At 51.8% G+C, this 16,963-nt stretch overlaps 1 protein-coding gene and 1 pseudogene across 3 annotated transcripts in view, besides 4 other annotated features; both read left to right on the top strand.

Annotated features, from left to right (window-relative positions):
* Positions 193-1,042: a silencer, noted in NCBI's record as "silent region_13515". NCBI's record gives its function as "represses an Ori minimal core promoter by ATAC-STARR-seq in GM12878 lymphoblastoid cells {active_cell/tissue: GM12878}" and the evidence as "EXISTENCE:reporter gene assay evidence [ECO:0000049][PMID:35858748]".
* Positions 761-16,963, top strand: part of YPEL1 (yippee like 1) — a 38,259-nt gene continuing 22,056 nt past the window's right edge. For 2 of the 3 annotated variants that reach the window (NR_130910.2, NM_013313.5), the window contains exon 1: positions 761-940. The gene's annotated coding sequence lies outside the window, so the exon portion shown is untranslated. Of the gene's footprint in view, positions 941-13,024; positions 13,155-16,963 lie in introns of those variants that run through there. The other variant, XM_047441355.1, reaches the window with a different exon arrangement.
* Positions 1,063-1,112: a silencer, noted in NCBI's record as "silent region_13514". NCBI's record gives its function as "represses an Ori minimal core promoter by ATAC-STARR-seq in GM12878 lymphoblastoid cells {active_cell/tissue: GM12878}" and the evidence as "EXISTENCE:reporter gene assay evidence [ECO:0000049][PMID:35858748]".
* Positions 6,361-6,548: a silencer, noted in NCBI's record as "fragment chr22:22084296-22084483 (GRCh37/hg19 assembly coordinates)". NCBI's record gives its function as "represses an EF-1alpha promoter that drives an FKBP-Casp9 reporter gene in an ReSE screen in HepG2 liver carcinoma cells {active_cell/tissue: HepG2}" and the evidence as "EXISTENCE:reporter gene assay evidence [ECO:0000049][PMID:32094911]".
* Positions 12,674-12,904: a silencer, noted in NCBI's record as "fragment chr22:22077940-22078170 (GRCh37/hg19 assembly coordinates)". NCBI's record gives its function as "represses an EF-1alpha promoter that drives an FKBP-Casp9 reporter gene in an ReSE screen in K562 erythroleukemia cells {active_cell/tissue: K562}" and the evidence as "EXISTENCE:reporter gene assay evidence [ECO:0000049][PMID:32094911]".
* RN7SL280P (RNA, 7SL, cytoplasmic 280, pseudogene) lies at positions 13,373-13,660 on the top strand (annotated as a pseudogene).

Below are 16,963 nucleotides of genomic sequence, written 5' to 3'. Positions count from 1 at the left end.
TCTGACGCGGCAGTCCTGGAGCAGAGCGAGGGGCCAGACGCAGACCCGGGGGGTCCTCCGTGGCGAGGGGGTCCTAGGGGGTTAGGTCCTTGGGTTCAGAGAGGGTGGTGGGGACGGGACAGCACGGACGACCGCATTCTGGGGACCCGGCCGCGGAGGGGTCCGGCCAAGGCGGGCCCTGGTCAGGCGCACACAAGCTCGCCTCGGCCTCCACGTCCGTCCCCTACAACGCGGCCGACCGCGCGGACGGGCGGTACGTGCACGGCGCTGGACGAGGAGGCTGCGCGCAAGCTCGCCTCAGCCTCTGGAGCTGCGGGCCCTGCACGCCCTCGGCCCATCCCCGCGAGCCGGAGGAACGAGTGACCACCACCGCCAGCCCCGCCGGCCGAGTGTCCCTGCCCAGCCAGCCTGCGTCCGAGCGCGGCGCTCCTCGCGGAACCCGCCCCTGCTCTCGCCCCGCCCCGCGCGGCCCCGCCCCCGTGTCCCTCGGCCCTTACAGGCTGGCTCCGAGGCCGCGCCCGGCGGGTCAGCCAATGGGAGTGCGGCGCGCCCCGCGGCACGTGGGCTCCTGCCCGTCCCGGCCGGGTGCGAGCTGGCGGAGCTCCTTGGCCCGGAGCGCGCGGGGCGGGGGCGCGCGGGGCAGGCGGGACGCGGGGCGGAACGGAGGCAGGATGGGGGCGGGGCGCTGGCGACATGGCGCGCTGATTGGCCGGCGCCGCGCTCCAAGGCTGTTAACGGCGTCTGGGCCGGGCTACGGCTCCAAAACAAAGGGCAGGCGGCCCGCGGGGCGGCGGCGGGAGGATGCCTCGCGCCCTGCCTAGGCGTTAACGGCCTCAGCGCGTCCCGGGCCGCGCCGGGAACGCCTGAGAGCCGAGCCCGCGCTGACCGGGGCCCGGGCCGGATGGGCGCTGCGGGCCGGGGCGCGGACCGCGGAGCGGCCGTGAGTACGGGCGGGCCTGGCTGCAGCTGCGCGGGCGGTTACTTTGTGGCCACCCAAGGATACTGTGGCTGCGGGCGGGCCCGGGAAGCACCTGTTGGGCGTCCGGGCGGGCGGGGGCGCGAGCAGGGCGGGCCTGTGACTTTTTTGTTCCGTTTTGGATTTTGATTTGTTGATATTGGGCTCACTCCGTTTTGGCACAGACAACAACGCCTAATCTTTGATTCCCCCGCCGTTTCTTCTCTCCACCTCCCCCGCTGTCCCTCTTCTCCCGCCCCGCCGTGAAAAGATAGGGAAAATGGACAAGATCCCTGATTTTTGGATTTTCCTTCCTTAAAAAATACAGCCTCAACTGGGCAAGGAAATGAGGGCAAAAGAGGTCTCCTAGGAATGTTTATCAGAAAGGCGGAAAAGCTTTTCAAGTAGCCACATAAAGATCATGACTAAAATGGAGCGTCCTCGGTATTTACCACTTGTGGCATAGGTTTCGTTAACAGAGATTGCAAAAGCCTGAGCTTCAGAGATCTAAACAGGGTCCGCCTCCCCCATGCTTGGCTCTGATTGACATCTTTGATGTCCAAATTATGTGCTGAATTCTAAGGATGGAAAAAAGGCTGAGATTCTATTTTAGGCAGATAATGAACATGGAAGACATCAATTTCCCCGCCCCACGCTTTTTCTGTTCCGTTGCATTTCTTCTTCCTCTATCTAAAACATACCCACCTTAACCTGATGTTTCCTTTGCTAAGAATGTTATTCTTCCCACCCACCAGCCCCTGACACTCCTAATTCCCTACTCAGGTCCCAAGACTAGGTTTACCACCACTGGGGAGACTTTCCAGGCACCTCACCTGAGCAAGCTATAGATGTGACAAATGTTTGCTGAGCCCCTGCCAGGTGCCAGGAGCTGTGCTTAATCCTGATGTCATTTTGTCTTACAATCATGCACTGGTCCCCCTCAGGGCTCTTGCGAGGCAATGGTAGTGGCATGTTTGAGGAATAAGAGGATCTCCAGGACCTTCATGGTGTTTCCTCTTGGGCCCTACAGGGTAGAGTCTCATCTACTTGTGGGAACCCCTACGGGTTGGGCCCATATTGAGCATTTATATAATAACTGAGCGCTCTTAATTACCAATCTGAGCAATAGTCTTCTTTTAAAATAACTTCTTATTTTGGAAAAACTTTAAATTTACATAAAGGTTGCAAAGATAGTACAGACAATCCCAATATATCCTACACCCAGTGCTCCCTATCCTTACCCCATCCTACACTGCTGTGGTACACTTGCCAATATGAAAAACACCTGGGTGCATTCTTGTCACTAAACTGTGGGTATTAAGCCTTTTCACCTTTGAATCACTGTAATTTATAAAGCCATTTCTCTGTTTGTTTCTTTGTTTGAGACAGGGTCTCACTCTTGCTCAGGATGGAGTGCAGTGGCACAAACACGACTCACTGCAACCTCCACATCCTGAGCCCAAGTGATCCTCTTGCCTCAGCCTCCCATGTAGCTAGGACTACAGGTGCACACCACCATGACTGGTTAACTTTACATTTTTTTTTGTAGAGACTGGGGTCTCACTTAATGTTTCCCAGGCTGGTCTTGAACTCCTAGGCTCAAGTGATCCACCTGCCTCAGCCTCCTGAAGTGTTGGGATTACAGGCTTGAGCTGCTATACCTCACCATAAAGCTATTTTCTTTAGGTTGAGAGCAGTGTTCCTCTAACATCTGTTCTTGATTCTTGCCTGTCTTCACTAAGTTCCACCAGCACCTGTGTCAAGGGGCAGGGATGCAGGAAAAGGGAAAGAGGCTACCCTATAGGTTTTTTCCTTTTTTCTTTCTTTTTTTGTTGGTTTGTTTTGGTTTGTTTATTTCAACAAACAAATTGGTTTTTTGAGACAAGGTCTCATTCTGTCACCCAGGCTGGAGTATAATGGCACTGTCTCCACTCACTGCAGCCTCAACCTCCTAGGTTCAAGCCATCCACCTGCCTTCTGAGTAGCTGGAAACACAGGCACACACCACCATACCCAGCTAATTTTTTGATTTTTCTGTAGAGACAGGATCTCACTCTGTTGCTGGTCTCAAACTCCTGAGCTGAAGCGATCCTCCCCCCTTGCCTCCCAAAGTGCTGAGATTATAGGTGTGAGCCACCACCCCCAGTTAGTTTTGTTTTGTTACTTTATTTGTTTATTTTTTGAGACAGAGTCTCGCTCTGTCTCACCCAGGCTGGAGTGCAGTGGCATGATCTCGGCTCACTGCAGCCTCCACCTCCAGGGTTAAGCGATTCTCCTGTCTCAGCCTCCCGAGTAGCTGGGATTACAGGCATGTGCCACCACACCCAGCTAATTTTGTATTTTTAGTAGAGACAGGGTTTCACCATGTTGCCCAGGCTGGTCTCAAACTCTTGACCTCAGATGATCTGCCACCCCTCAGCCTCCCAAAGTGGTGGGATTACAGGTGTAAGCCACAGTGCCCAGCCTTGTTTTGTTATATTAGAGAGACAGAGTCTTGCTTTGTCACTCAAGCCTGGGGTACAGTGGCACAATCATAGCTCACTGCAGCCTCAACCTCTTGGGCTCAAGCAATCCTACAGCCTCAGCCTTCTGAGTAGCTGGGACTGTGGGTGTGCACCACCATGCCCAGCTATATAAAAAAAAAATTTTTTTTGGTAGATATGAGGTTTGGGGTTCTCACTGTGTTGCCCAGGTTGATCTCAAACTCCTGGCCTCAAGTGATCCTCCAGTCTCAGCCTCCCGATGTGTTGGGATTTACAGGTGTGAGCCCAGCCTACCTTGCAGTTTGTTTGTTTGTTTTTGTTGTTGTTGTTATTTTTGAGACAGAGTCCCACTCTGTCGCCAGGCTGGAGTGCAGTGGCGTGATCTCGGCTCAGTGCAGCCTCCGCCTCCCGGGTTCAAGCGATTCTCCTGTCTCAGCCTCCTGAGTAGCTGGGACTACAGGCACCCGCCACAACAGCCAGCTAATTTTTGTATTTTTAATAGAGACGGGGTTTCACCAGGTTGGCCAGGATGGCCTCAATCTCCTGACCTCAAGTGATCCGCCTGCCTCGGCCTCCCAAAGTGCTGGGATTACAGGCGTGAGCCACCGCGCCTGGCCAACCCTGTAGTTTTAACATATTTGTCTCCATGGAAGACTAATAAACAAAATTGTTTTGAATATGAAGAAGCAATAGAAGCCCCCCTGCTTTCAAACTGTTCTGTGATGCTTTTCATTAGAGTTAAATGAAGTTGACGTAAATGTTTTTAAGTAGTTAGATCTAATAATCAGTGAAAGCTCTAGGGAGTGGGAATTTTGACAAGAGATTTGAGCGGAGGTTGAAGAAAGTTCTCAATAGCCAAGACATAGAGGGCTAAGGGTTTTTGGAGCAAGCAGTGCGAGATAGATTCAGGAAAGAAGTCAAGAGGGTGAAATCGATTCCGCCAGCAAATGCCAGGACGTTACACCTGCTATACAGATGCTGAGTACCAAAAACCTGTTGGCAGGTGAGAGTAAAATGGAAATCCTGGAGCCAACCACTGTTGCCCACACCCCAGAAAGGGGTTAGGAGCCGTTATTCACCCCATTGCTCAGTAGGCCCTCTGGCACCTGCAGGGCCTTGGGCCGGGGCCGGGATTCCTGGTGGGGCTTGTGAGGTGCTTGCTGAGCCCCTGCCGTCCTGTAACAGTGACACATGCTCCTGCCGTAAGGCCCTGGTCAGACACCTAAACTGTGCCCAAGGATCATCCCCCTTAACATCTCATGTGACTCTGACTGCCCTGTAAATTGCACGTTACCCCACTTTACAAAGAAGGTAGCAGAACTTGGCTTCAGGTCCCAGAGCCAACAAACACGTGGCACATTTTGCATCAAAGCCTGGGAAGCCTCTCAAAGCAAGTCAGACCCTCTTTCACCTTTGTCCTGGGGGTGATGACATCCCTGTTGCCAAACCTCACCTACTCCCTCCCTCGTGGTGCCACCTGCCTTCTCAGCAGCATTGGCATATACCCCCGCCACCCAAACGCTTCCCCCTCACCTTTTCTGGTTCCTCTTTGTGTATCTGTTTTTTTTTTTTTTTTTCCCCCCTTCTCTTGCCCCAAGACAGGGCCTTTAATGTCTGATGAGACTTTATTTAGCATGAGGGTAAATAAAGTAGTTTTTAAGATTCTCAACCTCTTTTCTTCTATCTCAATCCAGTCTTCTGGGTGTGGTACCCACTCTTTCAACCTAACAAGGCTAGTGTTGCACATAGTTCCTACACCTCCCCTTTTCTTTCTTTTTTTTTTTTGACACAGGGTCTCACTCTGTCATCCAGGCTGGAGTGCAGTGGCGATCACCTCAGCCTCCCGAGTAGCTGGGACGACAGGCACGTGCCACCACACCTGGTTAATTTTTAAATTTTTTTTTAGAGACGGGTTTTCGCCATGTTGCCCAGGCTGGTCTCGAACTCCTGACCTCAGATGATCCTCCCACCTTGGCCTCTTAAAGTGCTGGGATTACAGGCATGAGTCACCATGCACAGCCCCCTCTTCTTGTTGTTAGCAAGAAAGCACCTCTACTGGGATGTGTCCCAGGGCCTTGGTTGTGGGAAACTTTGTTACTAATGGTAGAAAAAAAAATGTAGTACAGGTTCTTTGAAAAGAAGCGCTCAGTACAAGCACATTATCAGTAGTCTCAGGAGAGGTGGTAGAGGTAGTACTTGAGCACAGGTGGGAGGAGAGATGGAGGAGAGAGCCTGGAGGGCCGAGGCACCTGGGGCCACTGGGCAATGGAGGAGCCAGGCCCCTTGGGTTCCCCAGAGAGCAGGGGCTGGTGGGGAGTCTACAGAGGGCCATGGAGCTTTGTCTCAGGGCAGCCATATAGGTGGTTTGATGCTGTCAGTGAGTCCCATTGTGCACCTAGGCTGCAGTTCCTGAAATGTGGAGGGGAGCTTTTCCTCCTGTAATGCAAGTAGGGAGGAAGTGGATGTGTGTGGATGGAAGCTGGAATTGCCAAAGGCAAATTGTACCCATGCTGTTGCCCTTTGTTGTAAATTTTTCCAGACCTTTCCACACCTGTGACTTCATGTACTATGTGAGAGTTTGAATAGTCAGTGTGGGCCAGATGCTGTAGCTCACGCCTGTAATCCCAACACTTTGGGAGGCCAAGGCGGGTGGATCACTTGAGGTCAGGAGTTCAAGGCAAGCCTGGCCAACATGGTGAAACCCCATCTCTACTAAAAATACAAACTTAGCCAGGCATGGTGGGAGGTGCCTGTAGTCCCAGCTATTTGGGAGACTGAGGCACAAGAATTGCTTGAATCCAGGAGGCGGAGGCTGCAGTGAGCCAAGATCGTGCTACTGCACTCCAGCCTGGGAGACAGAGCGAGACTCTGGAAGCCCCATGATGGAAATGTCCCTGATGTGTGTTTATCAGTGCATTTGGCCAGTCTCTTTTGGTTAAACTTTGTTGTTGTTGTTGCTTTTGTTGAGAAGGAGTCTCGCTCTGTTGCCCAGGCTGGAGTACAGTGGCACAATCTTGGCTCACCACAACCTCTGCCTCCCGGGTTCAAGCAGTTCTCCCGCCTCAGCCTCCCTAGTAGCTGAGACTAAAGGTGCCCACCACCACACCGAGCTAATTTTTGTATTTTTAGTAGAGACGAGGTTTCACCATGTTGGTTGGCCAGGCTGGTCTCGATCTCCAGACCTCAGGTGATCTGCCCATCTCGGCCTCCTAAAGTGCTGGGATTACAGATGTGAGCCACCGTGCTAGCCTCTATTGGTTAAACTTGAGGTGGTTTCTAATCTTTTATTACAGGCAGTATTATTATAGGATGATATTTTGTTATTTCAGGTAATAACTGCTTTTATCCAGTTATTTTGCACATGTGCATCAGCCAAAGGTGAACTCCCCAGATGAACCCCCATCCAGGGCTGTGCTCCTAGGAATGTTGTGGGTGTTGCCAAATGGCTGGATCACAGAGCACCTTCACCAGTGGTGTTGTCAACTTCTTAAATTTTTAAATTTAATTTATTATTTGTAGAGACTGTCTCGCTCTGTCGCCCAGCCTGGAGTGCAGTGGTGTGATCATGGCTCACAGCAACCTTGACCTCCTGGCCTCAAGTGATCCTCCCATCTCAGCCTCCCAAGTAGCTGGGACTACAGGTGCACACCCAGCTCATTTTTTTTTTTTTTTTTAGAGATGGGGGTCTTGCTGTGTTGGCCAGGCTGATCTTGAACTCCTGGCCTCAAGTAATCTTCCCACCTTGGCCTCCCAAAACACTGGGATTACAGGCATGGGCCACCCCTGACCTTATCAACTTTTTTTTTGAGATAAGATCGTACTCTGTCACCAATGCTGGAGTGCAGTGGTGTGATCTCGGCTCACTGCAACCTCTCCCTCCTGGGCCTAAGTGATTCTCCTGCCTTAGCCTTCCAAGTAGCTGGCACCACAGTCATGCACCACCATGCCCGGCTAATTTTTTTTTTTTTTCTTCAGGATGGAGTTTTGCTCTTGTTGCCCAGGCTGGAGTACAATGGCGCAATCTCAGCTAACTGCAATCTCTGCCTCCTGGGTTCAAGCAATTCTCCTGCCTCAGCCTCCCAAGTAGCTGGCATTACAGGCACACACCACCATGCCCGGCTAATTTTTGTATTTTTAGTAGAGATGGGGTTTCACCATGTTGGCCAGGCTGGTCTAGAACTCCTGACTTCAGGTGATCCACCCGCCTCGGCCTCCCAAAGTGCTGGGATTACAGGCGTGAGCCAGTGTGCCTGGGCTTTTGTATTTTTTTGTAGAGACGGGGTTTCACCATGTTGCCCAAGCTGGTCTCAAACTCCTGGACTCAAGCGATGCACCCACCTTGGGTTCCCAAAGTGCTGGGATTACAGGTGTGAGCCACCACGCCTGGCCTAACTTTTAAAAAAATCATTGCCAACCTGCTAAGTGTTAGACAGTATGAGTGTGCCTTCAGAGTTGAACATCTACTTGCATGTTCCACCTTGGACACCGTGGTCCAAGGTGGGGAGACTCTGGCTTTGAATCCAGCTTCACAGGTCACTGGCTGTGCAACCTTGGGTGCTCAGGTAACCTTTTTGGACTTCGGTTTCCCCATGTGCATCGTGGGGCTAATAAGGACACGCATCTCTTAGAACTGCTGTTAATCGTGCGATTCTTGTATGGTGAGCAGTGTAGGACAGGGCTGGTGTTGGCTTGCCAAGGCTCTGGGAGCCGCTGCACGTCCTTTTCCAGGAGCTGGTGGTTTTATCCGTTGTCCATTCCCTCCGTGATGGCGGTGGCCTTTTCATCTTTCTAATCCCAAGGACGGTGCCTTGCCAGTGAGGGGTGGGAGAGGCAAAGCTAAAAGCAGGGAGGCCTCCTCCATGGAGAGGAGGGGAAGGAAGGGGTGGCCGAGTGGGAGCGGAGGTGGAGAAGCTGTGGGGACGGCTGGCCGGGCAGGTGACACCACCACCTCTCACCGCTCATCCCTCTCCTCCCTAAAGAGGTGGACCATGATATCCTGGTTCCACTTTCTTTATGAATCCTGGCTGAACATGGCGGGGCCACATGAGCACTGTTCCTTCCCCGCTCTCCCTGGCATTCTGTCCACCTGGCACACCAGCCCCTTCATCGCCACGCCCAGCAGACGCCCCAGTTCTCCTCCAGCTTTGCAGCCTCTGACCCTGACGCACTGGCTTCCGTATCTGCCTGAGGCCTCCTTTCCATCTCGGGACACCCTGGAGGGCTCCCCGGGGAAGTAATGGGGATGGGACCCACACTCACCTGCCAGGTGGTGGCAGTGCCAGGGGGTAGGTGGAGCAGCCTGGGGATTGAGGGGAACAGGCTGTCCTCTACACAGGTGCCCCAGGGATGGGGCGACGACCCAGTGGGGTGGTTGAAAAAGTGAAGGGGGCACCCCAGTCTGCACTCCATCCCATGAAGTGTCAGAAGCTGCTTGGTTTTGTTTGCTTCCTCAGTGTGTTTGTCTTTAGAAGTGTGCTACCGGCACCATATGGACATGGGCCTGATTCACATTCTCTTAAAATAATTTTACAGGCTTATTTTAGGAGAGAAATTTCTGGATTCCAGAAAATTGTTTTTGCTCTAAAAACATACCCCACATTAATGTCTATTTGGGGGGATGGATGGCAGCTGCCCTCCAAACGTGGGGACACACAGTGTCCGAGAGTGGAGATGATTTTCCTGGTGAATTGCCCAGCATTTTCCTTTCAGTTACTTACTTCAGGGTGGTTCCTTATTTGCCAATAGATCTTGTAAAAGCCCATTTACATTGGTTGTTTCCAAACTTGGCCATGGGTTCCCCAGTGCAACAGTGGATCTGTCATTTAAAGCCAAGTTAAAACTTAACATGACATGCCTCTCAGTGACCACAAATACAGCCCTGGCCACTACTGCCAGGACCCCTTTGAGGGCTAGTGACAAGGGTTGCCATCAGGACTGAGACCACATGAAGCGCACGGGAGGCATCTGTGCAGTGACCAGACTCAAGGCAGGAGACAGGGACAGGGACTTGGGGGACATTTGGGACCCAGGGCAGCAGGCTCTTCAGGTAAGATTGCCTTGGGGGCGGGGCTGTATAATGAAGGTCTCCAAATAAAGCCCATGCGAAGTGTGCTTGGGAAACAGCAAGCCTGTTTTGGTTGGAAACAAGGCTTTTTGTAATTAGCGGTGCCCTCAGTGTTTACTCTGCAGAGCCCTAGGCACTCTGGTCCAGGAAGAGTTAGTAGCGTCCTCTGCATCCCACTGGGGATGTGTGACACTCAGAGAAACCACAAGGTGGAGGCGAGAGCTGAGATCTGAGCTTGTCGCTGCATCTGTCTGCCTCACAGCTGGGAGGCTCAGCCAGTGGCACTTGCTGTGGGGACAGCCCAGGTGCAGGAAGGGGCCAGCAAGGGAGGGCAGCAGGCTGGGCTACAGCCACCAGGGGTGGTATCTCCACTGAGAGTTACAGGCTTTGAGCAAATAGAGAACAGTTACAGCATGGAGGACCCTGGGGTAACACAGGACCCTGATGGGGACGCACCGCTTCCTCCTGCCTGGAACACTGGTGGTCAGAGGGTCCCCTCCCTCCTGGGGACTGGACTGTCCTCCGCTGATGCTCCTCCCTCTCAGGCCAGGTGGGACCGAGAGCGGAGAGCACCTGTGCTCTGGATTGAGTACCCGCCTGTGGGACTGTGGTGGCCGCTAGCGGGCAGGGATGCCTATTTCTCAGGATGTTGTGAGAATTCAACGGCCTGAGAATTTGCCGACCCTAAGGTGCAGATGCATGATGTAAAGGGCAAACGCCTGTCTTTGGCAACATTCTTGTCATTCTGGGGGCCTTGCGCCTGAATAGATGAGATTCCTTCCTGGAACCTTCTGGGACCAGCTTGGGGCCACAGCAGGCTGCGGCTGGTCCTTCCTGGACAGCGCTGGCAGGGCCCTGGCTTGTGCACTGCTCTTTGGGGACCATGGTCCTAGACCCTGGGGACATGTGGGTCTGGGTGAGGTGAATCTGCAGCTGCCCGCACCCCACGGCCCCTGCCCGCAGAGACTCCTTGGTGCCCATGGGTCCATGTTTTTAACAAGCTTACCAGTGTTTAGTGGCCATTTCTCATATCAAGTACTGATGTTTCTTTTTTTGGACACGGTCTCGGTCTGTTGCCCAGGCTGGAGTGCAGGGGCACCATCACGGCTCACCATAGCCTCGACCTCCCCGGCTTAAGCAATCCTCCAGTTTCAGCCTCTGGAGTAGCTGGGACCACAGGCATGTGCCACCGTGCCCGGCTATTTTTTTTTTTTTTTCCTTTGGTAGAGACAGGGTCTCACTATCTTGCCTGGGCTGGTCTCGAACTCCTGGGCTCAAGTGATCCTCCTGCCCTGGCTTCCAAAAGTGCTGGGATGACAGGCGTGAGCTGCTGCACCCGGCCGCAGTAGTGATGTTTCAACCCCCATTTACTTTTGCTGTCTCCGTGTGAGGATTCCCCTGATACATATTCATTCCCTAGATATTTAAGTGCCTTTCAGGGGCCAGGACACTAGTCAGTGATTTTTTTTCTACCATCTAGATTTAATAAAACCACCCAAGTGACTTTAAAATTTTATCATTTTAGGCTGGGCACAGTGGCTCACACCTGTAATCCCAGCACTTTGGGAGGCCGAGGCAGGCGGATAATGAGGTCAGGAGATCGAGACCAGCCGAGGCAAGATAGTGAGACCCTGTCTCTACCAAAGAATACAAAAAATACAAAAAATTAGCCGGGTGTGGTGGCGGGTGCCTGTAGTCCCAGCTACTTGGGAGGCTGAGGCAGGAGAATGGCATGAACCCGGGAGATGGAGCTTGCATTGAGCCGAGATTGCACCACTGCACTCCAGCCTGGGCGACAGAGTGAGACTCCGTCTCAAAAAAAAAAAAAAAAATTACCATTTTAGGGCCAGGTATGGTGGCTCATGCCTGTAATCCCAACACTTTGTGAGGCTGAGGCAGGTGGGTCACTTGAGGTCAGGAGGTCGAGACCAGCCTGGACAACATGGTGAAAGCCCATCTTTACTAAAAAAATATAAAATTAGCCGGGCATGATGGCACATGCCTGTAATCCCAGCTACTTGGGAGGCTGAGGCAGGAGAATCACTTGAACCCGGGAGGCAGAGGTTGCAGTGAGCCGAGATTGCACCATTGCACTCGAGCCTGGGCGGAAAGAGCGAAAGTCCATTTCAAAAAAAAAAAAGAAAGAAAAAGTAAAATAAAATTTTATTTTCTTAGGCTGGTGCAATGGTTCATGCCTCTAATCCCAGCACTTTGGGAGGCCAAGGTGGGTGGATGGCCCGAGCCAGGAGTTTGAGACCAGTCTGGGCAACATAGTGAAACCTTGTCTCTACAAAAAATACAGAAATGAACCAAGTGTGGTGGCGCACACCTGTCATCCCAGCTACTTGGGAGGCTGAGGTACAAGAATCACTTGAACCCGGAAGGCAGAGGTTGCAGTGAGCTGAGATTATGCCACTGCACTCCAGCCTGGGCAACAGAGTGAGACCCTGTCTCAAAACAAAAACAAAAAAAAAAAAAAAGAAAAAAATTTTTTAATGAACTATTTTTTTCCCCCCAGGATGAGGTCTTGCTTTGTTACCCATGCTGGAGTGCAGTGGTGCGATCATGGCTCACAGCAACCTCCATCTCCCGAGTTCAAGCTATTCTCCTGCCTCAGCCTCCTGAGTAGCTGGGATTGCAGGTGCCCGCCACCACGCATGGCTAATTTTAGTATTTTTAGTAGAGATGGGGTTTCACCACGTTGGCCAGGCCGGTCTCAAACTCCTGACCTCATGATTTGCCTGCCTTGGCCTCCCAAAGTGCTGAGATTATAGGTGTGAGCCACCATGCCCAGCCTTAATGAACTATTTCATAATTACAAAATACTAAATTATTTAAGCAGAGTGTGATGAGGTTTGAAGGAGGTACACGGAGCCTGTGCCTGTGGAATGTTCCTGAGGTCAAGAGGAACTGCTGCTGTGCTGTCCCTGGAGTGGGACTGGGGCTCTGGGATGGGAGACTCACTTTTCACTCAATGGAAGATCCTTTTGCCATCTCAAGACATACATGGTACGTACAGATGAGAAATGAAGATTAATAAAATGGACATGTGTATACCCAACAGCAGCTTAAAAAATAAAATCCCAGGCCAGGCGTGGTGGCTCACACCTGTAATCCCAGCACTTTGGGAGGCCAAGGCGGGTGGATCACCTGAGGTCAGGAGTTGGAGACCAGCCTGGCCAACATGGTGAAACCCTGTCTCTACTAAAAATACAAAAAATCAGCTGGGCGTGATGACGTGCACCTGTAGACCCAGCTACTCAGGAGGCTTAGGCAGGAGAATCGTTTGAACCTGGGAGGCAGAGGTTGCAGTGAGTCCAGCCTGGGGAACAGAATGAGACTCCGTCTCAAAAAAAAAAAAATTAATTAAAATAAAATAAAATTCCAGCTAGGCACAGTGGCTCACACCTGTAATCCTAGCACTTTGGGAGGCTGAGGTGGTGGATCACCTGAGGTCAGGAGTTTGAGACCAACCTGGCTAACATGGCAAAACCCTGTCTCTCCTAAAAATGCAAAAATTAGCTGAATGTAATGGCCTGCACCTGTAATCCCAGCTACTCTGGAGGCTGAGGCAGGAGAATGGCTTGAACCCAGGAGGCAGAGACTGCAGTGAACCGAGATCGCGCCACTGCACTCCAGCCTGGATGACAGAGTGAGTGAGACTCTGTTTCAAAAAATATTAACTAAAATCCCCCACCAGGTGCAGTGTGCACTTCTGTAGTCCCAGCTACTTGGGAGGTTGAGGCAGGAGAATCGCTTGAACACAGGAGGCAGAGGCTGCAGTGAGCCGAGATCACGCCACTGCACTCCAGCCTGGATGACAGAGTGAGACTCTGTCTCAAAAAAACAATTAATTAAATAAAATCCCCTGCCAGGCGCACCACTCACTGCTGTAGTCCCAGCAACTCGGGAGGCTGAGGTGGGGAGATCGCTTGAACCCAGGAGTTCTGGGCTGTAATGTGCTATGCAGTTCAGTTGTCCACACTAAGTTAGGCATCAATATGGTGACCTCCCAGGAGCAGGGGACCACCAGGTTGCCTAAAGAGGGGTGAACAGGCCTAAGTTGAAAACAAAGCAGGTCAAAACTCCCATGTTGATCAGTAGTGGCATCGTGCCTGTAAATAGCCACTGCACTCCAGCCTGGGCAGCATATTTAAAAAAAAATTAATTAAAAAAAAATAATCCCCCAGAAGTCGTTGCCACCCCTTCCTGCCCAGGGTCCTCACTTCCTGTGCTCTTACTCCTAACACAGGTGTCCTTTGTGGAAGGACAAGCGATGTGCACCAGTGTTGGCCCCAGAGGTTACGGACTGTGGGGTGGGGGCTTGCGTTTTCTCCCAAAAGATGATCTGCAGTTAGGCATTCATGGCATTTAGAAATTCAAAATAAACAAAACCCTTGGCAAATGGCCACTTGTTTTGTTTTTTTTTTGCCCCCGAGACAGAGTCTCACTCTGTTGCCTAGGCTGGAATGCAGTGGCACGATGTCGGCTCACTGCAATCTCCGTCTCCCAGGTTCGAGTGATTCTCCTGGCTCAGCCCCCTGAAGTAGCTGGGATTACAGGCATGCACCACCATGCCTGGCTATTTTTTTGTATTTTTAGTAGAGACAGGTGTTTTTTGGTTTTGGGGTTTTTTTGAGAACGAGTCTCACTCTGTTGCCCAGGCTGGAGTGCAGTGGCGTGATCTCGGCTTACTGCAACCTCCATCTCCAGGGTTCAAGCATTTCTTCTGCCTCAGCCTCCCAAGTAGCTGGGACTACAGGCACGTGCCACCACATCTGGCTAATTTTGTATTTTTAGTAGAGATGGGGTTTCACCATATTGGCCAGGCTGGTCTTGAACTCCTGACCTTGTGATCTGCCTGCCTTGGCCTCCGAAAGTGCTGGGATTACAAGCATGAGCCACCGCGCTGGCCAAATGGCCACTTTTTGAAGTGCTTTCCCTGTATGTGTATACCATGTTCTCTTTATGGACTACTATTTAGCCTTAAAAAAAGACAAGGGAATTCTGTAGTAGGCAACAACATGGATGTACCTTGAAGACATTATGTGCTCAGTGAAATAAGCCAGGTATGGACAAACACTGCATGATTCTGCTTACATGAGGTATCTAGAGAAGTCAAATTCATGGAATCAAACATCAGGATGGTAGCTGCCAGGGGCTTGGTGGAGGAGGAAATGGGAATTTATTAATCCACAGGCATAAAGTTTCAGGTAAGGAAGATGAACGAGCCCTAGAGATCTGCTGTCCATTGTACCGAGAGTCTACAATGTTCTGTCCACTTAAAATGTGTTCAGGACAAACAGCAATTAAAGAAAAAAAAATGTTGGGCCGGGCACAGTGGCTCAGGCCTGTAATCCCAGCCCTTTGGAAGGCCAAAGCAGGTGGATCACTTGAGGTCAGGAGTTGGAGACCGGCCTAGCCAACATGGCGAAACCTCTTCTCTACTAAAAATATAAAAATTAGCCAGTCATGGTGATGTGCACCTGTAATCCAAACTACTCAGGAGGCTGAGGCAGGAGAATCGCTTGAACCCAGGAGGTGGAGGTTGCAGTGAGCCAAGATCACGCCACTGTACTCCAGCCTGAGTGACAGAACGAGACTCTGTCTCAAAAAAAAAAAAAAAAGAAAAAAAGGCTGGGCATGGTGGCTCACTGCTGTAATCTCAGCACTTTGGGAGGCTGCGGCGGGCAGATCACGAGGTCAGGAGATTTAGACCATCCTGGCTAACATGGTGAAACCTCATCTCTACTAAAAATACACACAAAAAAAATTAGCCGGGCGTGGTGGCACACGCCTGTAATCCCAGCTACTCAGGAGGCTGAGGCTTGAACCCAGGAGGCGGAGGTTGCACTGAGCTGAGATTGTGCCACTGCACTCCAGCCTGGGCAACAGTGCGAGACTCTGTCCTCCCCTCCCCCCCCCAAAAAACCCAAAATGTTGGCCAGGTACAGTGGCTCACACCTGTAATCCCAGCACTTTGGGAGGCTGAGGCAGACAGATCACTTGAGGCCAGGAGTTTGAGACCAGCCTGGCCAACATGGTGAAACACCATCTCTACTAAAAATACAAAAAAATTAGCTGGGTGTGGTGGTGTGCACCTGTAGTCCCAGCTACTCTGGTGGCTGAGGCAGGAGAATTGCTTGAACCCAGAAGGCAGGGTTTGCAGTAAGCTGAGATCACACCACTGCACTCCAGTCTGAGTGACAGAGCAAGACTCTCAAAAAAAAAAAAAAAAACAAAATCGGCCAGGCATGGTGGCTCATGCCTATAATCCCAGCACTTTGGGAAGCCGTGGTGGGTGGGAGGCCAAGGCGGGTGGATCATGTGAGGTCAGGAGTTTGAGACCAGCCTGGCCAACATGGTGAAGCCCCATCTCTACTAAAAATACAAAATTAGCTGGGCATGGTGGTGCATGCCTGTAGGCCCAGCTACTCAGGAGGCTGAGGCAGGAAAATTGCTTGAACCCAGGAGGTGGAGGCTGCAGTGAGTCGAAATCATGCCATTGCACTCCAGCCTGGGTGACAGAGTGAGACTGTCTCAAAAAATCGCAGTCAGGTGTGGTGGCTGATGCCTGTAATCCCAGCACTTTGGGAGGCTGGGGCGGTTAGATCACTTGAACCCAGGCGTTTGAGACCAGCTTGGGTAACAAAGTGAGACCCCATCTCTACAACAAAAAAATTAGCCAGGCGTGGTGGCATGGGCCTGTAGTGTCAGCTACTTGGGAGGCTGAGCTGGGAGGATTGCTTGAGCCCAGGAGGTCAAGGCTGCAGTGAGCTGTGTGACCATGCCACTGCACTCCGGCCTCGGCAACAGACTGAGACCTTGTCTCACACACAAAAAAGTGATACTGCTTTTTTTTTTTTTTTTTTTTTGATACAGAGTCTCGCTCTGTCACCCAGGCTAGAGTGCATTGGTGCTATGTCAGTTCACTGCAACCTCTGCCTCCCAGGTTCAAGTGATTCTCCTGCCTCAGCCTCCCAAGTAGCTGGGATTACAGGCACTCACCACCACGCCTGGCTAATTTTTTTTTTTTTTTTTGAGATGGAGTCTCGCTCTGTCACCCACGCTGGAGTGCAGTGGTGCGATCTTGGCTCCCTGCAACCTCCGCCCCCCAGGTTCAAACGATTCTCCCACCTCAGCCTCCTGAGTAGCTGGGATTACAGGTGCGCTGTAATTTTTGTATTTTTAGTAGAGACGGGTTTCACCATCTTGGCCAGGCTGGTCTTGAACTCCTGACCTCATGATCCACCCGCCTGGGCCTCCCAAAGTGCTGGGATTCCAGGCGTGAGCCACCGCGTCCGGCCGCCTGGCTAATTTTTGTATTTTCAATAGAGACGGGGTTTCGCCATGTTGTCCAGACTGGTCTCGAGCTCCTGACCTCAAGTGATCCTCCTGCCTCACCCTCCCAAAGTGTTGGGATTACAGGCATAAGTCACCGCCCCTGGCTGATACTACTTA

Source organism: Homo sapiens, chromosome 22 (assembly GCF_000001405.40).
Source record: "Homo sapiens chromosome 22, GRCh38.p14 Primary Assembly".
Classification (NCBI taxonomy): Eukaryota; Metazoa; Chordata; class Mammalia; order Primates; family Hominidae; genus Homo; species Homo sapiens.
This window is presented reverse-complemented; position numbering and strand designations above follow the sequence as displayed.